The 25,555-nt window shown below is 38.2% G+C and overlaps 1 protein-coding gene and 1 long non-coding RNA gene across 39 annotated transcripts in view; one reads left to right on the forward strand and one right to left on the reverse strand.

The window, feature by feature from the left end:
- LOC105376926 (uncharacterized) overlaps positions 1-2,467 on the reverse strand; it is a 38,900-nt gene extending 36,433 nt beyond the window's left edge. Inside the window, exon 1 of the long non-coding RNA XR_001740398.2 lies at positions 2,387-2,467. This is a non-coding gene — a long non-coding RNA (uncharacterized LOC105376926). The remainder of the gene's footprint in view (positions 1-2,386) is intronic.
- Positions 1-25,555, forward strand: part of CNTN4 (contactin 4) — a 959,094-nt gene that overhangs the window by 750,501 nt on the left and 183,038 nt on the right. For 37 of the 38 annotated variants that reach the window (XM_017005783.2, NM_001350095.2, XM_047447536.1 and 34 more), the window contains one exon: positions 17,386-17,583. In XM_017005783.2, coding sequence (XP_016861272.1) covers positions 17,386-17,583 — 198 coding nt within the window. Of the gene's footprint in view, positions 1-17,025; positions 17,046-17,385; positions 17,584-25,555 lie in introns of those variants that run through there. The other variant, XM_047447537.1, reaches the window with a different exon arrangement.

The following is a 25,555-nucleotide window of genomic DNA, read 5'->3' on the forward strand; positions in this document are numbered from 1 at the left end:
TAGTGGCACTGAACTGTGCACTTACAAATGATTAAAATGGTAAACTTTTATATGTATTTTGCCACACTAATTTTTTTTAAAGAAGAAGGGGAAAACCTTAGGCATTAAGGAAAACAAGATTTTGGTGACTTCTGGATTTTTGCTTTCCATTTAAGCTTGCCTTAGTGAGTCATTGGACCTCAACGGCTAGGCAGTCACTGATGGGAGCAGAAAGAAGTACTTATCCAGCACTTCTCCACTGAAGTTGAGCCCAAACATTGGCTGTTCCCTACTTTACAGAAGAAGATCAAGGGATACAATAAGGTTGGGATTGATGGACGTCAGGAGGATTTGCTTTAGGAATGCACGTGATATATGAAAAGGGTTCAGCCAGAATTCACAAACTCTGTTGTCTCCTATGGCCAGCCAGGCAGGTAAGAATGTAAATGAATCAGATAATGTGAGTCAGGTGGAGATCCACAGCCTTCCTTTAAACAGGCCAGTCACTGCTCATCTCAGACCAGTTATTGCCTTGAAGAAATACAGGTTCAGTAGTGCCTGGTCTCATGGTTTTTCATGAGAAGCCGTATGTGTGGAATCTTATATGAAATGTTTCCATTTTGGAAAATGTTAGCAATCACTTTTTTTTCTTTTTTTTTTCTGAGACGGAGTCTTGCTCTGTGGCCCAGACTGGAGTGCAGTGGTGCAATCTCAGCTCACTGCAAGCTCCACCTCCCGAGTTCAAGTGATTCTCCTGCCTCAGCCTCCCGAATAGCTGGGATTACAGGCACGCCCCACCACACCCAGCTAATCTTTGTATTTTTAGTAGAGACCAGGTTTCACCATGTTGGCCAGGCTGGTCTCAAACTCCTGACCTCATCATCCACCCACCTGAGTCTCCCAAAGTGCAGGGATTACAGGCGTGAGCCTCCGCGCCTGGCCAGCAATCACTTTTTAAATGTTCTACAGTAGCATGGTAAACAGAACACAGCTATTTTCCAGATCTTTCCACTTACTTCCAGTTTCTTTCCAAGGATAGACTCTTCACTTTTTAAGAAATGACAGTAATGATCTCATGTATTTGTTTATTTATTTTTACGTTTTTCAGTTTAAGGTGACACAAATGGTTAGGACAGATACCATCACCCCAATTTTACTCTTGAAGCCACTGAGACTTTACATGGAGGGACTTCAGCTTGCACCCAGATCATGCGAAACCATGTTCTGTGCCATGTGAGACTTTAAGAGGTTGCTTTCAAAACTCCCCCGCAGGTTTCCTTATTTATCATTTATCTAGATGAATTCTTCCTCCCTTACATTGGAGAAAACAGAGTTTCTCAATTTCCCATGACTCTCTTTGTTAGTCAGATGGGAGAGAAAAGTCATTACCTATGCGAACCTGTAGAAATAGATTTGTGTATTTTTCAGTAATAAATAAAATAACCAGGGAATTTAAATCATATAATATTTTCCATCTTGCCAGAGATGGATTTTTTTTTCCCCTGGGGAAACTTTTAACTTAAGAATGTGTTTCAATCTCCTTGATGTGTTGGAATAATCATTAATGTTTACAGTTGCTGTAGCAACTAGAAATGCTGGCAATTGAGTAGGAAGGGAGCCTGAGAGAGGAAGATAAGCTGTATCAATTATTGAACATCTGTCAAACAGTTAGCCAATTTAAAGTGACAGACAAAAAGCTAGAAATCGAAGGTGGGTACAATGTATTTGTTAAGTTAACAACATCAGTTATGTATTGTTTTGCCACTATTACAGAGGGATAATTAACACTTATTTGCATCCACATAAAGGGAGCATTTTCTATGGCGAATATACAGTTGCAAGTGTAAATTTTTATGTCATAATCATCTTAATCCATCTCTCGTGGATGTTAGTTTGCAGTTTCAATATCTATTTGACAGACTTTTGCATTTTTTAAGAGCACAGAAGTGAAACACTATGCCTCTGATCATATGCCTCTCCAGGCACTCTCCTCTCCTTATCCTAAAACCACTACTCATTTATGCAGAAGCAGTGGCCTAAATATTGGCCACACGTGTCTCCAGTACTCTGTCTTACTCTGATGGCAGTTATCATAGATCAATTAAAACTCCTTTTTCCTCTGAGTCTCTGGCATTCTCAAAACCCTAACACAGCACCTGGATAGCCAATGCCAGTTAGGAAGGACTCTGTAGTGGAGTCTATTTGCAATCCCTGTCTGTTAATGATTTCTCACCTTCGCTTGGCGTTTTATTGTTTACAAAGTGTTCTTACTTGCATAGTCTCATTTGGTCATCAAACCTCTAAGGTGGGGGTTGTTATCCCTTCTTTACATGTGAGAAAACTGAGGCTTAGAAAGATTAAGTGATTTGGCCAAGATCACAGAGTTAGACAGAAGATACCTACTTACCTACTGCCTTTTCCACTGCACTGTAAAAGAAAAGATCATCAGGTAAAAATCCAGGGTGATGGGTTTCAGTACTGCCCTAATCACTTACTAACTAAAAAGAAGAAGAAAAAATAATAAAACAAGAAAGTATTTAATCCTTCTTTAGATAGTTCTCTCTGCTTCTAATAAAGGAGAACTGAACAGATTTTTTCCTAGGATGCTTTCAGCTATAATCTGTAATACATGAACTCTAAGTAAAATCTAGTTGCTAAGTTTCTCAATTACAGCATTTGTTTATTACCAGGCCACACCCTACCTCGTGGCTGCACTCCCAGTTTCTTCCCAGATCTCAGTTTTTTGAAAGTGAGAGAGCATATTAATTTTATAATTTTTGCTACTTCTATTTGTTAGCATAATAAGCATGCTAACACTGTATACATGATCACAAGATTTAATTTTCTGGCCTGGCTTTGTTTAATGTTAAGTTTTAATGAGTCACCTTTTCTCTCTTCCTCATTTTCTTTTCTGGAAAGCAGGATTATTAGCTCCAAGAGATGAGTCAAATGAAGTAACATAAATGGAAATAACTTTAGGAAAATAAAATACTGTCTATGATAAGATATTAGGGTAGCTTTATTCCTTATAAATTCTGACCTGATCTGATAATATTAAGTAGATGATGATTTAGAATGGGTCTTCAGAATAAATTTAAAGGAACATGTAAGTCATCAAATGATTCTATTCACCATCTTTGCCTTATCAACAATAATAATAATAAACATTAACATTTATTGAGTGCTACCATGTGCTCGACACTGTGCTGATTATAAGTAGCAATTTGGCTACAGTATTGCACGTGATCCCCCAACCCTCCTATGGTGTGTTATTATTATCTCCATTTTTCAGATGAGAAAATTGAGTCTTAGATATGTTAAGTAACTTTCCATGCTCACAAAGTAGTGGTAAACCAAGGTTTCAAGACCATGTACGTCTAACCCCAAGTTCTAGAGTAGATACTTGACCGGTTATAAATAATACTTCACACACCCAAGGTAAAGATATTTATTTTAAAATAGAACAAAGCATGGTCTTGCCTAGATGTCCCATAAAGAGCTGTAATCATCAGATGCCCACTTTTTTCCTTTAATTTTTCTTGAAGCTGACTTTTTTCTTGCAAGTCTTTGTGTTATTGTCTTCAAAGAATTACAAGAGTCATTGGGAAGAATCCACCATTTCTAAGAACCAGTTTTTACGCAGAACTATTTTAAGTGGTACCAGATGGATAGGAAATTAGTATACAACTATTTTTCAAGTGGGGCTTAGGAACAATGGTAAGAAGGGGCCATTAGTAAATGGAGGAAGGTAAAATAAGTCTCTAAGGAGAAAAAGAAATGACAAGGGTTTATATTATATTAAGAAATTTTTCAGATACTTTTTATCACAGGGGACGGAAAAAAAAAAAGAACAGTGTCCACTAGGGAGTTTTTTATAAAATGAATTTATTGTTTTTGTTTTGTTTTGTTTTGTTTTTGAGACGGAGTCTCACTCTGTCGCCCAGGCTGGAGTGCAGTGGTGCGATCTCGGCTCACTGCAAGCTCCGCCTCCCGGGTTCAAGCGATTCTCCTGCCTCAGCCTCCCAAGTAGCTGAGGCTACAGGTGCCCACGACCACGCCCAGCTCATTTTTGAATTTTTAGTAGAGATGGAGTTTCACCACATTGGCCAGGCTGGTCTTGAACTCCTGACCTTGTGATCTGCCCACCTCAGCCTCCCAAAGTGCTAGGATTGCAGCCATGAGCTACTGTGTCTGGCCTAATTTATTGATTTTTTTTCAAAGCATATTACCTGAATAGAATATTTCTTCTGAGTAGATTTTCTTGAGGAATTCAACCACCACATGTACTCACTTCTCTGCCTGTCAGTTCTGAGTCCTAGTTTCTTCTCCCAGACCAGCTTGTCAAAAATACATTAGACATGAGCATGGACACTTTGCGCTCGCTCTCTGTTTTGGCGTCTTGAAACCAGAGGAAAAAAGACCTGTTTGTTCAGTTTGAATTTTAAAAATCTCTGATTGGCTGATTTAAGTCATGTGATCCTCACTGAACCAATCACTGTGTCCTGAGGTATGATTGGTCTCCTGTGACTCACTCCCATCTCTATGCTGGCCTTGGGGGAATGATGACTGCCGTTCCCCAAAAACCAATTGACGAAGCATTGCTAAGAAGATGAAAAGTGCCTTTCTGGCAAACCTGGTAATAAAGCCAAACTCATAGATGATTAATCTTTCATCTAGTCCTCTTCACTGCACCTCAAGGCAGAACCGGACCATTGCAGCCAGTGATGGTCTTTTTTGTTTTTAAAGGTCCAAATAAAAGAACAAAATACCTTTATTTTGAAAAGGATAGTTCCATTCTTTACAGACCAACAGACCGAATGCTTTTGTTATTGGTTTCACAGGAGCATTAGCAAGACGCAGGGAAGCGGGGAAAAGCATCTTGGGCCATAATGAAAACTGGCATTTTATTTTTCTTTCTTCTTCTTTTTTTTTTTTTTTTTTTTTGAGACAGAGTTTTGCTCTTGTTGCCCAGGCTGGAGTGCAGTGGCACAATCTCGGCTCATTGCAAACTTCACCTCCCCGGTTCAAGAGATTTTCCTGCCTCAGCCTCCCAATTAGTTGGGATTACAGGCGCCTGCCACCACGCCTGGCTAATTTTTGTATTTTTGGTAGAGACGGGGTTTCTCCATGTTGGCCGGGCTGGTCTCGATCTCCTGACCTCAAGTGATCCGCCTGCCTCTGCCTCCCAAAGTGCTGGCATTACAAGCATGAGCCACCCTGCCCGGCTGAAAATTGGTATTTTCTTAGCACATTTGATTAAGGGTTAATTTGTGCTCGTGATTTAAATGTCAGTTGTCTGAATTTTAGATCACAAGTTTAATCAAGGAGAATGTGGAATTGTTTAATAATTTGGTGAAAAGGTTGTGTGTTGTTAACTTGTGTGGGAGTTGATTATATTACTTGAAAGCTTGCTCAGTCAGTCATATTACTGCTTGAAGCCTTAAAGAAAGTAAATAATTAGAGTTAAACTGACATTTTCCACCATTCAACATTTTTTTCATTATTCCTGAGAATCCATTTTAGTTCCCATATTGAATCCTCTTTTTTCTTTCTTCACAGAAATTGCTTAGCTTAAAGTAAGAAGACAGATTTTGATTATGCTGTGAGAAAAAGCAAAATTTCTATTAATTATGATTTGTCCAGTCAAAATTTTCCTACGAAATATATTTAAGTGCTGATGGTACGAGTGACCCGTACAATACTGATATTTCAGGATTTAACTGGTCACCTAGTTCCCTGAAATTCTCAGTACTCCTGAATGTTGCTATGGGGTTAAATACTGTGGCATACAAAAGAAAACAAGGTTGTCCTGATCCCTACCACAGTCCCCCTCAACCACAGGCCTGGCACATCAGTCAGGGTAATCACTGCTGGACTGCCATGTCATTGGCTTAGTTAAGCTGGAGGTTTCAGTTGCAGTGGCTCCTGGCATAGGAAAAGAAATCTTTGTCATGGTCTCAAGAGATGTCTGTTTTAATCCCAAATCTAATTCCACTGATAGTCTTTGTGGTCTTGGAATAGCTTATGTAATTTTCTATATCTCACTTTCCCTGTCTCTCCAATGGAACTAATCCTTATTCTACTTATTTCTAAAAATTGTCAGAGGCACCAAATGAGATAATGGATATAAAAGTGTTTTGAAAATGTAAAGAAGTAGGAAAGTTGTGGTTCTGCTGATGGAGATGGAGGCTTACTTAGTAAGGTGAACAAAAGTATCTGGCTCACTGGATCCAGTTTAACTTTCCTTGTGCATAGAGATGTCTTATTCAGTCCAGGTGTTCCTGTCACCTTTGAGTAACTGTGATCTGACCTGTGTCCAGGTCACACGGGTGTCATCTGGTAACTCTAGTTTTCATCAACATATGTCATTTAGCGTAAGTCACATCAGGTGGACTAACTTCGCTGCTGCATGCTTTCCTTTCTGCCTTTACTGAGTCCTTCTCATTCTTGGCCAGTCAGTCATATTTTCTTTCTGTCTTAGTAAACTCAGCAAAACTGCACCAGAGTCAGAAATAAATGGAAAGGGAAGGATTTTTAACGAAAGGGGCTCACTCATTCTGACTTAAAACATGTATTTTGATAGTCCAGAGGTTTTTTTTGTTGTTATTTTTTCCCTCCTCTGATTTCAGTGAATTTGATTTACCATTAATGGTCTGATGAAAGAGATATACTTTCTTATTTACAAGCGACTTCTTTCTCAACTAACACTTTGGGCCTGGAGTTCAGCAATAATACTGTTGCTCCAGGAAACTTCTGGCATTTGGAATTCCACTTCGATTCAACTAATGCTTAGTAAGTTGATTTCACAAAAGTAAAGTGTATGTTCTCTGGCCATATGTATTCTTGTCCACAAGCAGTCTTCAAGCCTGGAAGATGGAGGAGAGATGAGCAACTGAACTATTCTAATACAGTTACAAACAAATTTCAACGTGTGAAATAATGGGCTGGTTGCTACGAGGCAAAAAAGAAACAAACACTTATTTTGTTGTTGAGGAGAGACCACATGTAATTTTCCTGGTCAGGAAATGGCTTTTTGCAAAAGGTGGTGGCTGAGATAAGTAAAGCAGGGAAACACGTCCTGAGAAGAGAGTGCACAAGCCTTGTCAGAGGGACTGAAAAGCACCCGGCACACAAGGGGATCAGTGACTATTTTTCCACTATACCTTAAGCAACCCTTCTTAGCAGTATAAACCTTTCTTAAAATACAATTTCGTGGGGAAGTGCAAATTTCAAAAACAGAGCTCTCTGCTTAAAGCCCAGATGGACGGGCACAGCCCTCCCACTGTGTCTTCTCTTTGCAGCTACAAGCGACCCCTGCAGGAATACTATGTATTGTATGAATCCATTAATCACGGATGCCCTTACTCAGCCTCCCTAAAGTTTTGCAACTCCTCGCTTGAGGGATCCTCCCCAAGAGTATACATTAACAAAGAGTAAAGAGTAGAAAGCTAAAATTAAGTAACTTGGGGTCCTGTTATGGAAGGATTTGAATGTGAGCTGGATGCATTTTACTTTATCCAGGAGGCAGTGGGACTCACAGAGGATTTGTGTGGGAAGGAAGGACATGACTCAAAGCTGCCCTTTGGTAGGATTAATCTGACAGCGTTGTATGGGTTGGCCTGCAGTGGCACTGAACCTGACACAGGCAAAAGAGCAGGATGTTCTTAGGCCAGTGACAGATGACGGTGAGACAAAAAACCTCTATGGAATTCGAATCCACAGGACTTGGATGCTGATTTTCTCCCCAGCAATGGGACCCACACTCCTTCCTAGAGAGAACCTGGGATCAAACCACAGGGCTTGTATGAAGCGGGCATAAGTGTGGAGCTGAAAGAGTTGTATCATGTGATTTTGTTCTGTTCTCCTGCTACTTGAGAAAAAGCCATATTCTTTCTGAGACTGGGCATTGAACTTTGATAGTTGTCTCTTTAGCTTTTATGTGCTTTCCACATTATCTGAAAGTATTCTATACTTGGCTGTCAAAGGGTATCCATGCTTCAAGGGATTAACACTTTTAAAATGAGCTTTGTGTGTTTGAGCTCTTTGTAAAATATGGTGATACCTTTGATTTCTTAAAATACCAAATTTTTAACAAATAGCTGAAAGAAACATTCTTTATCCCCCATGAACAGTGTTTCCATCTGCCCATCATAGTCCACTTCAGCTGCATCTCTCTGCCATGGCTTTACTGGTTTGATGGTTTGATCACACTGAACAGACTGGGCCATCTATTTTTTGTTTTGTTTTTTTGAGACATAGTCTTGCTCTGTTGGCCAGGCTGGAGTAAAGTGGTGCGATTATGGTTCACTGCCGCCTTGACCTCCTGGGCGCAAGCGATCCTCCCACCTCAGCCTCTCCAGACTCCTGAGTAGCTGCGACTACAGGTGTGAACCACCATACCCAGCTAATTTTTTATTTTTGTAGAGATGTGGTCTTATTATGTTGCCCATGCTAGTCTGGGCCATTCTTTGTCACAGTCAGGCAAGGGTCTAATGTCAGTTCTGTATGATTTCAGCACCCCACTTTTATCCCATCAAAATACTCATATTAGCTTATATTTGTTTTCTTCAGCACCATTCTTATACCAACAAAAGTATGCAACTAAGGGTCAGTTCCATTTATTTATCTTTGTGTCTGTATCCTAAAGCAGGGGCTACAACCTAAATTGCCTATAGATTCATATAGGACTGGTATATGGAGTAGGGAATGGTAGAGGCTATGGCAAACTGGAGACTGAGTGCCTGTTCCTCAGTGGAAAGCTGCTATTCACCTTTGACAATCATTTGCCTGATGGAATGAGAGCCTAATGTATCCAAACCTTTTAAAACAGTGTTTCTCAGAGTGTGGTCTTCAGGCCGACAGCATCAGCAGCACCTAGAAACTTGCAATTCTTGTCCCTCCCTGTTCCACCTCCAGAATAAGAAATTCCAAGAGTGAGATCCAGCCTTTTGTGTTGTAACAAGCCTTTCCAGTGATTGTGATGCTTACTCAAATTTGAGAACCACTTGTTATAGTGGACATTGTGTTGTATCACTCAGACTGCTTTTGAGGACTGATATTTGAGGACTATGTTTGTTTCAAGAAAAGCCCAATATCAAGGCCAGGCACAGTGGCTCACACCTGTAATCCCAGTACTTTGGGAGGCTGTGATGGGCAGATCACTTGAGGTCAGTAGTTCACGGCAAGCTTGGCCAAAATGGTGAAACCCTGTCTTTACCAAAAAATACAAAAATTAGCCAGGCACAGTGGTGCACGCCTGTGGTCCCACTTGGGAGGCCGAGATGGGAGAATCACTTGAACCCAGGTGGTGGAGGCTGCACCCCGGCACTCCAGCCTGAGTGACAGAGTGAGACCCTGTCTCAGAAAAAAAAAAAGAAAAAGAAAAAGAAAAACCCAATATCAAGATATATATTTGATTTTTAGTTTTTTATTATTTATTTTTAATTGACAAATAAACATTGCATATATTTATGGCATACAACATTTTAAAATTCGTATACATTATGGATTGGCTAAATCATGCTCATTAACATGTTCATTACCTCACATACCATTTTTTCTATGGCAAGAACTTTGAAAATTTACTCTCAGCAATTTTCAAGAATAGAATACATTATTAGTAACTATACTCACCATGTTGTACAATAGCTCTCTTGAACTTATTCCTTCTGTCTGACTGAAATTATTTATTCTTTGACCAACATTCCTCCAACCTCCCTGCTCCCCAGCTAGCTTCTGGTAATCACAATTCTACTCTCTGTTTCTATGTGTTCAACGTTTTGTGATTCCACATGTGAGTGAGATCATGCACTGCTTGTCTTTCTGTGCCTGGCTTATTTCACTTTGCATAATGTCCTCCAGGTTCATCCATGTTGTTGCAAATAACAGTATTTTATTATTTTTATGGCTAGATACTATTCCACTGTGTATATATATCACATTTTCTTCATTCATTCATCCACTGATGGACACTTAGTTGATTCCATATCTTGGCTATTGTGACTAGTGCTACAATAAACATGAGAGTGCAGATACGTCTCTTCAACATTTCATTGCCTTTGGATTTTCAGTTTCATAATATAGGGAAACTATAACAGACACATCCACTTGTCAGTCTCAGTCTGTCCTGTGCACTGTCACTCTTCAGCCTCCACTCCAGTCTGAACATGCTAACAAAAAGGATGCTTTCCTGGTTTTTTTTTTTTTTTAATGACTTCTTCCCTTGCAGGATGCAAAGTTTACTGACTCCAGATCTAGGCAATATTTCTCAAACTTTCTCACTGATACAGTTCTGAGAGCAGAGGAGAGACAGGGAATGCAGAATTATATGCTGAAGCCATTCACTGCCAAATACAAGATTTTGTTGAAGCCTTTCCATTTGCCTTTAAAAATCATATAAGTTGTATGTCCTATTTTGTCATATACTCATATTTGGCTTATTGTCTAAACAATGAGTTAAATTACTTTCAAGTTAAATTCCGTAACTTCCACCCACAATTTCTTAAAGAAAATCTGCACCCTAGAAAAATGCTCAATTTACCCCCAAAAAATAGAGGCAAGAAAATAAGAAGTTACATGTAAGAGGGGGAAGTTATAAGTCATACTCAAACATATTCAAGAGCCATATACCTGACCAGAAAATGCACCTTTTGCCATCTTGCTTTTCCATACCTCCACTGCCACATCTGAGCGAGTAAATAGCATGTACTAAAAATATCTTGAACAAAGCGAGTAGTCTCTTAGTTGGAAGGCTTATTTTTAGAAATACCTGGCACAAGGTTGGATGAGATTTAGTACTAGGCCTTATCTAATCCTTGCCTCATATGGGCACCATTTCATTTCTCCAAAATCAGTACTGCAAAGACGGTGAAAAGCTTTCACTTTATGTGCCAACACAAATTGATTGGAGGTAATTGCCTGAAACACTGTACTGAGAATGATTCTCAGTCTGTGTCTGGCAGAGTCAATTATAAATGTTAGCCATGGGTGTAGGAGTGGCGACTGGTGGTCCAAGTGACAGATATCTGTCATCCCTGCTCTACTCAGCACTAATAAAAAATGAAAGCAGTGTCTGAACCCTGGATGGTCCTGCTCATTGCTTGGGACCTGTCTAAACCAAGTTCTCTGGACCACAGAATATTCCTAATAGGGGTCCTGACAGCTACAGTCATGATTTCAGCAACCTAAGCTGCAAAGGGTCATTACCGTCATTATAGGTTTAAATACAAATTAGTCTGTCTTCTAATTAATAGAGGTACAATATCTCTCCCATTTCCACACCTTCAGATCTCAACTCATCTAAGACACTGCCCCTCCACTCTTGTTTCCCAAGCATTGTTCACTGGATGACAGCTCACATATGACTTTATATTTATCATTCTGTGTCTTAGTATAATTAAAATGTCATCCAGAGGCCCCCTCTCTCAGAATCCAAAGTCTATTGGTCATTCTCTTCTTGAGAGAGCTCTTTCATATGACATGAGTGGTTTTGGTTTCTTCTGAAACCAAACACTCTTGCCTTCTCCTGCTACCTGTTTATTGTGCACAATCATCAGTGCTATTTAATTCTTGCAGTTCCTGGTATAATTCTTACTTTCTCAGGGAAATTTTTGGGTTGCTCGCAATTTCTAACATTTTTTTTTCGCAAAGGTCAGAGAAAGACAAGGTATCAATCCATTTACGAAAAGATAATTTTTGTTGAAAAAAATGCCAAAAGAAACTCTAAGAATTTACATTAATATGTTTGGTGATCGGTGTAACTCTTGGTTTAGGCAGGGAAGGTATTCTTTTAATTATCCTATTTTTCAGATGAGAAAACTGAGGAATAGAAATTACTTTCCTGCTGATTAAATCCCGAAGCCAAGACTCAATTCATGTCTCTTGACACCAATTCCAGAGATCTTTCCATGGACTTATGCCATTTTTCCCTTTGCTCAGCACACTGATAACTAATTCCAACCCCTGTCTTTGTAACTGCTCTCCAGCACACCTCTCCATCTCAGCACTGAGCTCAGTGCTTTTGCAAACAACTGATGCTTTGTAAATATTTGACCAACAAAGGAACCAATGAATACATTCATTTTACCCATTTCATTTGTAGAAATCACTTAAAATACACTTTTCACATCTACTTTCTTAGAATTATATATCCATTTAAATTCAACCTCACAAACACTGTGTAAAAAACAGGATACATATTGATAAAACTATCTAAAGGTAAGGGGACTCTATCATGCTGTTAAAATCATTTATTAAAGCCAAAATTTGTTATAATGCAAAGACTACCATTCATGTCTCCTGACTTAACTCTAATATCTTCCTTCTACAAAACACAACGCAGCTTAAATCAAATAAATAAGAGTGTGTGTGTGTGCACGTGTGTGTTCCAGTTCTTGACCTTGCCAGTAACTACCCTTGTGATTCCTAGCAAGTTACTGGGTTTCCTTGGATCTTTCTTTCCTTATTTGTCAAATGAGCATGTTGGATTTGATGATCTACATATAGAATGTACGGAATGATGAAAGAGACTGAGACATCATGTAATCCCACTCCCCCAATTTATAGATAAGGAAAACTGATTTCTTCTGGCTCCAAAATACATTTTTAAAGGAACATATGGCTTCCTAACAGAATCAGCTCTTCTGAATACTGGGGCTACCCCACAGTCCCATCCCTGCCACTTGTCAAATGTGTGATCATGATCCACTCATACAGTTTCTCTAGACTTCAGTTTCCTGATATGTAAAATTGAAAAAGTTGGACTAAGAGCCCTTTCAGGTTTAAAACTTTGAGGTTAAGAAAGGCATCTTTGAAAACTGACATCTTTGCCACTACTGGGATATGACTCAGAACATAACGAAGCATAATATAGCTCTAGAAATAAATTGGTGTCAAGAACAATTAAAGAGCAACCATCCAGAGAATTCTGATTGATCATTTGTGTAATCTGTTCAATGAGTACCTGGATTTGAAAATTGCTTGATTGGTGTCTTCTTTTAAAAATAAGAGCCATACATCATTTGTTGTTGGCTTAGAGATACAGAAAAAAGAACCAATTAAGTGAGCTTCAGAGTTAATTTCCAATAGATTTGGATGCTGCAAACCAAAAAAACCATTGCTAGGCCTTTCTTCTTTAATGAGTATCACAATACAACTAGCCTCAGTATTTTTCAGTTGAGCCCCAGAAGTTTCACAATCCATTTAATATGTTGCATTCCAAGTATCTGTTTACTCAGTTGTTAAAAATTGCCAATGGGACAGAAACTGTCTGTCACTTCCAGAGCAATTAGTGTGTGAAAACTTATCAAAAGAAATCTGTCAAGTTTGAGTAAGTATAAATATTGCATGAAAGTCCCTAAGGAAATCAAACTGAGTAGGATACACTTTTGCGAGTTGCAGCACAGAAAAGTTTATTTTGTTTTATTTACTTGGCTTTATTTTTCAGAATGTTGATAGTGCTTCATGTAACCCAATGGATTAATGTTTTGCTCTGATAAAAACAGATTTTGGTTCTTAAGGGAAATCTCAATTGTATATTGAGCGATATAAAAATACCAGATCTTGGTTTCAAATATGAAGAGCTCTTACTTTGTCCTAGATGGGACACTGGAATGAGAGTTAAGCTAGAACGAGTAGGTTATAGTCCGCCTCACCCCTTTTTGGTGCTCCAGCCTAACCCTTTCTAGACCTCAGAATTTTCTTATCTTTAAAATGAAGAAATAGGACAAGCGATTTGTTGGGTATGTTTTAGTTGTACTACACTTTTTGCCTGCTTTGATGTCTACATTCTCATTACATTATATTCCTCCTGCTCCTTCCTGATTGCCCTGAAGAGATAAACAAATAAAAATACAATATTCCAGGTGGTGATATTTGATCGTGAAAAAAACTAAGTTAATATCTTGGTGAGAGATTTCCCCTGTTTTAGGAGCTTAGTGCTTAGGCCAACATGTTCTCACCAGTACACCAGCCAAGACTTTTCTGCTGACCTTCCCACTTCAGGACTCCACAGTATTTACAAATGTCAGATGTTGAACCATGTTGGTTAGGTTCCTTAGCATCTTCTGTTTGAGGCTCTTCTTGGCATCTATGGTTTCTTCTTTTTTTTTTTTTTTTTTTTCAGCATAAGAAATGGTTACGCTGTTATATTGTTATTACAATTGGGGAAACATTACAACTTTAATTCAATATTTGTTGTTGTTTTCTGTTGTTCTATTTAATATTAATGATTTTGTAGAAACTGAAGTAATACAGTTAATAATCCGTATATTTTACTTATTGTTTTTTGAATTGAACTAATTGGTACAGCGTTTCCCAAACTAGGTTTTTTGAGCTGTGGGGGTTAGATGGTTGTGGTGGTGGTAATTCCATGAGCAAATAAGTTTGGATGCTTAAACACTCTCTAAGGAGTTTCAAGGACATTGGCATGACAAAATCTCTTGCCAGTCCTGAAAGAAAAAAGTTGAAACTCCGTTTTACTTTGTTTAATCCAGTACTTCTCAAAGTAATTTGATCATGTAACCCTTTGAGTTTTAGGGAGGTGGGGGTAGAAAACAAAGAATTAATCATCAAAGACCACTGTTTAGGAAATGCTGCAGGAGGCACTTCCGGTTGTTTGCATCTCTCACTAAGTTACTTTAGTCACAAAAGCAGTGAAACCAAAGGAATCAACCTATTTTTAATTAGATCAAATAGCATGTTAATTGAATTTTCAAAAAAGTTTTTACTTCTATAATGATTAACCTGTTGAAGTGCAACACCAATAATAACTAACATCTGTACAGCCCTTTAGAGAATTCAAAGTGCTTTCACATAATCGGTTGCTCACCACTTACCTGCATCACATTTAAAATTGTCCTCATTTTATGGACCAAGAAGCTGAACATGAAGTTTAAATGGCTTCCCTAATATAACGCAGATTTGAACTTTAGTCTTACTTTGTTGTTGTTGTTGTTCCTCTCCAATTAGAAAAAGAATGAAGCAGATGCCATTTTCCCAATATCGACTTTCTGGTTGCTAAATGAGCCTCCCGCAGAATTCAGAGAGCCTTGCAGCCAGTAGCTACTACTGAGAGTTCTGAAAAATATTGCAGGGAAAAAAAAATCATTTCCTAGCCAGGCGCGGTGGCTCACACCTGTAATCCCAGCACTTTGTGGGGCCGAGGAGGGCAGATCACCTGAGGTCAGGAGTTCGAGACCAGCCTGGCCAACATGGTGAAACCCTGTCTCTACTAAAAATACAAAAATTAGCCAAGCGTCGTGGTGGGCACCTGTAGTCCCAGCTACTTGGGAGGCTGAGACAGGAGAATTGCTTGAACCCAGGAGGCAGAGGTTGCAGTGAGCCAAGATCGTGCCACTGCACTCCAGCCTGGGCAACAAAAAGCAAAACTCCATCTCAAAAAAAAAAAAAAAGTTTCCGGTATTTGATTCCAACTCTCCTTGGAGAAATGTGAGTTGATTAGTATTGTGCTGGTAAATTACATTCTAACTTCCATCATGTGACTTTGGAGGTGCTAATTTATACTTAAAACTCTCTTATAAATAATTAGGGGATAGGTAATCTTCTCATTTTGCATAGGAGAAAGCTTAGGTGCTGATAGATTACTAGGTTTGCTTGAAACTCACCTGTTGAGTATGTAAGGACTGCATTGCGATGCTGTTTGTTGAAAGCCTGCCATACGGGATAGTACTTCTTCACAATGTATTATAGGGGCTTTTCCTCCCCCAGATTTTAGTTTCTTGAGGAAGCTTTCTGGAAAGCACTTGTATATTTACACTGAGTATCCTCTTGACACCAGCATGGGGTTACTTGTAATGACATGCACATGCGTAAATAAAATGATTAGCCATTCTCATATAAACATAATTATATCTTTCTAAAATAATACATGTGGAAATGTTATAATCCAGTGATAAAGGGAAAGCAATGTGCATGACCCCTCCTTTGTGCGTAAACAGTGGATTTAAGGCAGAATATGTTTCCTGTTGCACATTCAGTTGTTAAGGTCAAGTACAATTGGGACACATTGAAGGATTACAGTACAAAAAATGCCTTTTACAGTAATTAGCGTTCTCTCTACAAAACTGAAGTGACCTTTCTGCTATTTTCCAAGGACACTTTATACATTTAGACTTTAGCTCAGGATCATATGAAAAAGTGACATATAAGAACTCAGTCAACTAGTTCTGAAACCAGAGGCCCCATTGCATTTAGTTGTTCCCTTACCCTCCCCTCAACAAAGTAATTTTTGAAGATAAAGTGGGACATGTTGGCTACTCAGTGCCAGTAGCTAGTATATCACTTCTCCAGCTTTGGACAAATCTGGAAATTACACTTTAAAGAGAGGAATCGTGGAATGCCTGGAGCTGAAGCAGTTTGATTTCCTTGGAGCACAATAGTTCACTGCAGCAAATCATTTATACTCACTGTCATTTAGTGGTCTTCTCTGAAATGGAAAGCATGGGCTCATGTGGTCCTTCATAAAACATTTACCTAATTCTTATAAAAGTTAGAACTTTCAAAGGAACATTTTTGATACAACTGCCTATGAAATTCATCCCACTGGTCTTATGGGATAAGGGTGTGTGAAAATGTTGCTGTTTTATCACTATCTCATATCCACTCCCTCGTGGATCTAATTTTTTTTAATATGGATGTATATTTGTGGAATCAGTCAACTAGTCAGTCAGTGTATACTTAATGAGTGTTTGCCACAGTGTTAAACTGCTCTCTTACTAAAATGATGGAAAAGTATTCAACCTCACAAGTGAGAAGAAAAAATTTGAGTTGATAGTAGGAGGCATTGGGAGAAGACTGCATTGACACTCAGGAATTATTCTGTTTCTAACTAGAGCTAAGAATTTGAATAAGTTACTCTGTTCCTAGGTGCCCGTTTCTCAGTTAATGGAAATAAAACTATCAAATATATTGGAAAGCATAAAGTGCTATGCAAGTATGGGGCATTATGATGTAATATAATGATTATTATCTATAAAACAAAAGAAATGATCTAAATAGTTTCCAGGGTGGCTTCCAGCATTACTATATCAAGATTATAGGCACCCTGGGTCTGTAATTTGAGCATTACTCAATACATGTTACATAGTGCCTGACACCTGATTAGCAAACTATAAATGCTTAGCCCTTGACTTAAAGAGGTTGGACATCGCTTAATCAGCTATCAGTGTATCTTTTACTTCTCTGGAAATAAAACCTTATTGACTGATAGTAGAAAGGCTGGTAAAATGCCACGGGGGACTGTGATTACTTCCTATCTGTATTTAGTGGGCTGAAAAAGAGTCATTGGACAACAATGTATACATTTTTAACCTGATCATTTCTTTCATGAAAACAGTAGAGTTCCAGTGCCAAAAGACATATTTGTAATGAAGATTTTTTTCCTTTCAGAGCTGAGTTATGCCTGGATCTTCAATGAATACCCTTCCTATCAGGATAATCGCCGCTTTGTTTCTCAAGAGACTGGGAATCTGTATATTGCCAAAGTAGAAAAATCAGATGTTGGGAATTATACCTGTGTGGTTACCAATACCGTGACAAACCACAAGGTCCTGGGGCCACCTACACCACTAATATTGAGAAATGATGGTGAGTTTTCAAGTAATTTTGTTAATTTTGTTTCTGCAATCACAGGATGAATGTGGAGGTATGTTATGTTGTTGGCACATGAAGCTTTGTTGTCTAAATTAAATGTAAGAAAAGTTTACTGCAGCCTATATTTGGTACCCATATTTTCTCCACTTGTGTAAGAGATAAACCCATGAATCCATTTTGGAAAACTAATTAGAAATCTAATTGCTAATCTCAACAGGAATAGAATGAGGATTTAGGTGAATATAAATAACAAAGGAAGGTATTTCTTGTTTCTCTCCCACTTAAACTGTATACACAGTCAGAATGAAGTGAAAGGTTGAACAATTAGCTCATTAATCAATTCTGTGTAATTTAGTATTCTGTGTCCAATTATCCAAATAACTTCTGGATGTACAGTACTGAACGCATAGTTCCCACCACAGTGAAATGTAGACATAACAAGGCTTGTTTGAGACAGAAATTTTAATTCCCCACACTATTAGAATATTTCAAGAAAATATATGAAATTCATATATTCTTAATTACCTAAATGACTTAACAATGTGTAGTAAAAATCACTGTGTACTTTGTAAAGACGGCCGTGTATGCCAGACTCTAGGAGTACCATGCCCTTTCCCACCACGGGTTTTTATATATGCTGTTCCCTCTTCTTGAAATGCTCCTCCTTTCCTTAGTCCCATCCTCTCAGCTTCTCCCTTGGATAAACTGATACTGGTTCTTCCAGTTTCTTTAAAGATGTCACTGTTTCCAGGAAGCCATCTCTGCTTGCTCACCCTGCCACCCAACCATGCTGCGTCAGGTACCTACTGTATCGAGTCTACGACCATACCCCAAAAGATCTCATAATTCTGCATCACAGTTGTCTGTGTTCTTCACTGTCTGTCTTACTAGCAATTTGCCTTTTTAAAGCATATGTAGTACCTTATTCACAGCCACCTCTGCTGCACCTGGTTTCGCAACTGGTACATCGAAGATTCTCAATAAATATTTGTTGAATAAATTCAAACAAAGACATAATTAAGCCCTTCAACAAGGGCTGATATCATGATTTAAGCAGTCGTTGTAGACATGTTCAGGTTTCTATTCTTTTTAAATCCTTTTACTGTCTAGTACACATTCAGATCTTCTATTATGAACAGGAATGACGAGACCCATCACACAAGTGAGGATACCATCAGCCAAAAACATTAATAGGAAACATCTACTTGACACTTAATATGTGCCTAGTCACTGTGCACAGAACTATATGTGAATTATCTCATTTAAATCTCAATCAATTATATGATAAACATTTTCTTTTGCAGACGGGGAAACTGGGGCTCAGCCACATTTGTTAAAAATTAATGGCTCCAAGATTTCCACCCAGCACCCATGTCTTACTGACTCCAGAGCCTGATATCTTAAACCCTCACAGTGCTTCGTTGCATTATACTGTAACACCTCTTATCTGAATTTATACAAGAAAAACTTGACAAATGCAAGACGGGAACTCAGATTTCTATTCCCCAAGTTTGTTACTCTTTCCCTGTGTTTTGTCAGTGAACTTTGTGCCCAAGTGATGCTCTGAACCTGAACCTTCCAGAACAAAGTATTTTATATACTAAGCAGCTCTGAAGAGAGGGTCTGAGCATCCTTTCTACATAGACTACACTGTGGAATTTTTGAGCAAATAATTTAGATTTTAACCATTCATTTATTCATCCATTTAACATACATTTATTTAGAACTTCCTGTGTGACAGCCACTATGCTGAGTGCTGGTGAACAGGAGGCTCTTGCATTCTCCTGGGGGATGCAGACACAAAGAAACAAGCAAACATAAACAAAACCAAAATCCTATTATTTTAGATGCCAGTAAACCAGTATGATAAAATAGCAGCTCTGTGGTGGGTTTGGGGGGTGGTGGGTGTCTACTTTAGACAGCCATGGAAAGCCTTTCTAAGGAGGGGACATTTGAGCTGAGATCTGAATAGCAAGAAACCGGCCCTCTTAAGATCAGAGGGCAGAGCTTTCCAGGCTGAGTTAACATCATATGCAAAAGCCCTGAGGCCTGAAAAAAAGCACTCAGCATGTTCAGAAAACACGAAGAACAGTTGAGCGTGGTTGAAGCATAGTGAGCAGGTAGGAGGGTGGATAGAATTAAGGTTAAAAGAGAGTTTTAATCTTAATTAGAAATAGGAGAAATTAGCAGATTTTACTTCGAGTGCAGCGAGAAGCCGTTAGCGAATTGTATGCAAAAGAGTGATTTATGTTTTTAAGAAGATTGCTTAGCTGCTATGTGGAAAACGGACTTTCAGAAAACAATAGTGAAAACTGGAAATCCAATCAGAATACTACTGCAATTAATTCAGTTGGGAAATGATGGGGGGTGAAACTAGGGGGTAACAGCAGAGAAGGAGAGAAATGGATTCAGGATATAGTTTGCTGGTAAAGCTGCGAGAACCTGATCATTCCTTAAATGTGGGAGACAGTGGAAGAGAAAATCAAGGATGACACATAGGTTTCTGGCATAGCAGCTGAGTGTATGGGAATGCCCTTTACTGAAATGGTTTTACTGCACAGGTTAGCAAAGGAAAAATCAAGAATACTATTTTAAACATTATTTGTAAAACCAAATACATAACTTCTCCCTTGGCAACAGGAGGAATTATTTGTTTTGTGCTTTTTTGGCCATCTTTCTATAATAACATTCATCTGGTATATTCATATTTGTCCGCTTGCCTTCCCCACCTTGCTCACATTATGATCAAGGAAAGATCAGCGTTTTCATCCGACTTTGTACTGCGCTCCAGCACGGTGCTTGCCACATGGCAAATGTTAAATTAATATGTTGGATTAAGCTACATTATATTCAATAAAACTGAAAATTCTTATCAGCTTAAAGAGAAAAGTAAGTAAGGTACTAGCTCTGTCAAAAGCTATCAGTGCTATCTCTCCAGACTGACAGATGAAGAAAGTTTCAAAAGATATGCTCCAGTGGCATTTTGTAAGAAATCTCTTAAAAATACAGCCCCTGTGGCTTCTACCCAAATGCACTTAGGCCAGAATATCTGTTCAGTGGTATTATCTGTTTTGGTCTATCAAGTCATGGATGTAATTACATATTGACTTTGATATACTGTGACATAGCCAGGGACAGACGTCACACAGAACTGCCTCTTCAAAAAACAAGAAACAAACATTCAGGAACACAAGCACTCCAGAATCATCATGTACACTTCAAACTGGCAACAACTCTGCCTTTTCCCTGGCTTTTAGATTTATCTTGATTTGTCTGGTATATCTTCATAGAGATGACAAATGTTTTGTATTAAAATATTTTATCACAAAGTTAGCAGACTAAAGATCTCATTCTTCAGCCATTAATGCCCACTCATTCTTAATTTCCATGAGTGTTGCATGGTGAAAATTCATGTCTTTTCCATTTACACTGGAGTATATAAAATGGACACTCAAACTGTGTTACTAAGCACAAAATAGGTTATTAAATTAGCTGTTTTCTGAAGATGAGAGAAAAGGGGAAATACAAATCAAGAAGAGATTGCAAAATAAAGAGGACATTCTTGTTAAAATCTATTCTGTGACAGTAAAATCAATGAAATTCTCTCTCCTCAAGATCTGGGATTTGGTGACTGTATATTAGACTGGTAAGTGCAAGGTGAGTATAGAATTTGTACAATCATTTTGATGATTGAAGCACACTCAAAATTTCACATCCTCTGTCTGCCTCAGAAAAGGGAAAAAAAGCAAGGCAAAGGAGTTTGAAGCCTGAGCTGAACTAATTGCTAGACTTGTCATTTACTTTGCTAAGAGCACATGTAGCTGGCAGAACTGTATTTCCCCAATATTCAGCTTGTTTCTTGGGCATTTCAGCTAAGCAGTCTGGACTATGATTTCTTATTTGTACCCAAAAGGCCACAGTGAGTCATAAAAGTTGAACAGTGAACCTTGGCTCAGTTCCTAATACAAATGAGGTGTGATGAGTCTCATGTCTGTTCACTGACCATTTACCACTCACCCGAGTCCTGCAAAACCCTGGGGCTCCCTGTTCCCTTTTCCCCAGCTCTTCACATGGCTCACTCCTTCCTACATCTCAGATGATGTCTCCTATGTGGGGCCAGGAGGTAAGGACACAAGCCATGAGGATCCCGAAGCCAAGCAGTCCAGGCAGAGTTCAGCCCCACCATTTATTAGCCACGTGGCTTTGAATGTGTCAGTTTAACCTCATTGTACTTAGTTTTCTCATCAGTAAGATAAGGGTAACAACATCTACCTCAGATAGTTATTTTATGTGTCATAATTGAAAGTACTTTGAACAGTGACAAAACAGAAGTATATCATCAATAACTTTCTTACCTAAAATATGCTCAACAAATTATATTTTTAAAAGACAGATTACTATAGTGTATAGATCATATTATTCTTCTTTTTTAAAATAGTGGATAATGACAGGGAAAAGTGGAATAATACTCTCCAAAGTGACTAACGATGTTAAACTCTAAAGGGTTTAACTTTTAGTGGTAAATTTTGATTTATTTTTTTCTTTTTGCTTGTCATTATTTTTCTCACTTTTCTAAAACATAGAGTTTTCAAATTTTTAGAACATTGTTTGATAAAGATTATTGGACCTAATAGGCACTTAGAGATCATGCAATTTTATATCTTTATTTTTTGAGAAACAAGGGAACTGAAGATCAGAGAATTCGGATAAGAAAAATGGCATCAGGACAGATTCCTGGTCCCTGATCATCATATTATTTCACTGAGGTTCAGAAAAGGCTGTTTGGGCTCTAGATTTAGACATTTGCTTCGTTTCTTTTGCTTTATAATTTTTGATAATTTTATAGTGAGAATTATTTCAAATAACTATATTACTTTGCAGTATTCACTTCTGGGACACATAAAAATATGAGTTGGTAGATATATGTGAGAACAGATTTTATCAGAGTTTATAGTTATTTATCCAGATATTTTTAAATCTGCTTTGAGAAGATAACTGATTTGGGAAAGTACACCTGTTGCTTAGGAACCATGAGAGGGAGAAAGTATAATTGGGAAGAATACATCATGGTTATTATTAGTACAGGTACTAAAGTAGTCCATTGATCCTTATTAGCACAGCTGTTGGTTATAAATAGTGATGAGCCTGCTCTGTTATATGCTTCCTGCACAGATCTCAAAGAGTTATCCCTAAATTTCCATAAACAAAGGTAACAGACCACTCATATAGCATAACTACTAAAGAAATAGTAGCCTTCGATGATAATCATATTGGCTCTTCTGTCTTTAGCCACTTACATGGCTCTCTCTAAAATGGCTTAAGATGAAAAGAATTAGCAGAGATTAGGACAGTCTTGAGAAGATGAGATAATGTCTGTTACACTGTTTATGCACATTACATTACACACACAGGGAAATCATTTAGCATGAAAATTCATTGTTTAGCCTTTGCCTTTTTTTCTGTTTTCCTGGAGACTGGTTGGGGACTGGTTTGGAAGGTTTGGAAGGTTTTTTTTTTGTTTTGTTTTGTTTTTTAAATTTTGCTTATTAGAACAAAGATGAATGTTGAGCAATTTATAGCCTGTGTCTGTCTGATAGGTCCATGCATTGCACAGTAATTGTTAAATATTTTTGAATATTAACCCGAATTGGAACTCCACATAGAAGAGATGCTACAAAACAAGGAACAATGAGATTATCCTATCTTAGAGTTTCAAATTCTCTCTTTCTCTGTACTCTGTCTCTCTTTCCCTTTCTCTCCTCCATTTCTATATTTACATACATTGTTAATCATATACATTTTGGATATAGGTATGTATATATAAACCAGATATATTGTCTTTGGGGGTTCAAATGTAAAGTTAACTTCTCTAAATGTTTATTATACTTCAGTATAAAATTAAAATGTTTAAAATGTTTATGTATGTTCTCAAATATAACTGAAATACCTGACCATGTTTTCCCAAGTCCTCACTCATTTTTCACAGCCTAATTTAGCCATGAAAAACAGTGAATAAGAGCAGCATTGAAGTATTTAATCTTCTCATCTTAAATCAAGCTTTCACCCAGTAGGAAAAAGCCCAAACGATGACCTCAGCATCCTTCAGTTTCACAACTTTTAGTCATGTCCAGGACTAAAGTCAAGAGGGCAAGTAAAGGGATTCTGGAGTATAGTCCCAGACGTACCAGCAGCTCTCATAAGACAAATCATTACCATTTCTTTGGTCCTTAGTCTTCTCAGCTATGCAAAATGGGTGATTTATAATAAGTTCTATCTAAAGTTTCTTCTTCTTGTCTTCAAGGATTCCAGTCACAACTTTCTAGCCTACTTAACTCCAATCTCAACATTTGCCCAAGCCAGATAATATCAGGTTTAACAGACAGATGCTGCTCATTGAATCCGATTTCTCATCAATGCTGACAGCTGATCCCTGCAGAAAACTAGGTGCATTCAGTCTTTCAGGCCACAGTGCGCCATTTTGTGAGCCTTCACCTCTGTGACCATTATACCTCCTAGTGGCTCAGAAGACTACATTCCCCACAAACTTCTAAATTTAAGACCAAAGGAGACCTTTAAAATAGAAAGCAGAAAACTAAAAGATTCTGAAATATTCTTGTTGCAGCATCATGCATCCTCCATTATGGTCTTGCCAACTGGTCACTGTAAACTTTCCTAATACTGCTCCATGCTACATTAGATCCTCAACTGGGCATCAACAGCCACTATTTTTCTTCATGAAAAGGGAGCTTTATTTGTAGGCCACTTAATTAACCTAGTGGGTTTTTGAACCCAGTCATTTAGGAGATCTCTTCTAGATTGGAGACGTGATCTACAACCCTTTATTGAAGACCTGGCATTTAGACAGGCAACAGGTAGAGATATGCCTTCCACTTAGACATAATTTTATATTATTTAAGATCTAGAGTTTATACCAAAACACTGCTTTATTTTACTCTCACTTCTAATTGCAACCTTTGTGTGGTTTTGTCACAGCAATCATGTCTTGATTTTAATTCTCTGACAACATCGCAGTTGAGGATCTGTGGGCGTAAAACATGTTTTATGAGGAGAACATCTAAATGACTAAAGGATGTGAGATATTTTGCTAAACTGCCATTGCTAATCTGATTTAATAGCATCTTAATGGCTCTGTGTATTTTGAAGGTTTGACAAGCTTAGGAACTTGGCAGTCATCTTTAGACCTCTAGCATAGCCAATTCCATTTCAGGTCCATGGGGGCTAAAGGTCTTGGATGGCCATTTGGCTACTCAGTTAGAAAGCATCTGTTAAGTGCTCGTTGTGTGTGGCACACTATGAAATAAAAAGACATGATTTCAGCCTGTGGGAACCTACAGTCTTAGAGAATTCCAAGTTAATGAAGGGTCTAAAGTTTCATTCTTTACTGGAATTATTGAATTGAGTTCTGAATAATACATTTATAGAGGGACTTGAAATGAAAGAGGGAAGCAGAGGTGTTTAGCCTAGAATTGAGTTGACTTGGGGCATTCTTTTGATCATGCATTTAACCAACGAATACTCATTGAGTATCTGTTCTCTACTTGTCTCTAGAGATGCAAAAGTCCTTCTCTGCCCTCATGGATTATAGCCTGGCTGAGAAGCCTAATTGCAGTTAGAAGCAGGAGTGGGGCCATACTCAGGGGAGAATAGAGAATTAAAGCAGATTCACTTCAGTTTCAATTTTGGTAAGAACTACCTTGGAGCAGTGAAGTGTACAGGGAAATTAGGTGTAGAATCACAGCTTAAGGGTGAAGAAACCGGGCCTGGTCTTGGGAATCAACCCAAACTTCCATGAAGAGTCAGACAATCTAAGATAAAATAAATAATTCCAGGCAGCAGGCAGATTATTTGTTTTAACTAGGAATTGGCAAACTCTTTCCCACAGGCCAACCTTGCCTGTGGCCTGTTTCTGTAAATAATTTTTCTATAGAAATGTTGGGTATTCTTG

The sequence above is a fragment of the Homo sapiens genome, chromosome 3, assembly GCF_000001405.40.
Source record: "Homo sapiens chromosome 3, GRCh38.p14 Primary Assembly".
NCBI lineage: Eukaryota > Metazoa > Chordata > Mammalia > Primates > Hominidae > Homo > Homo sapiens.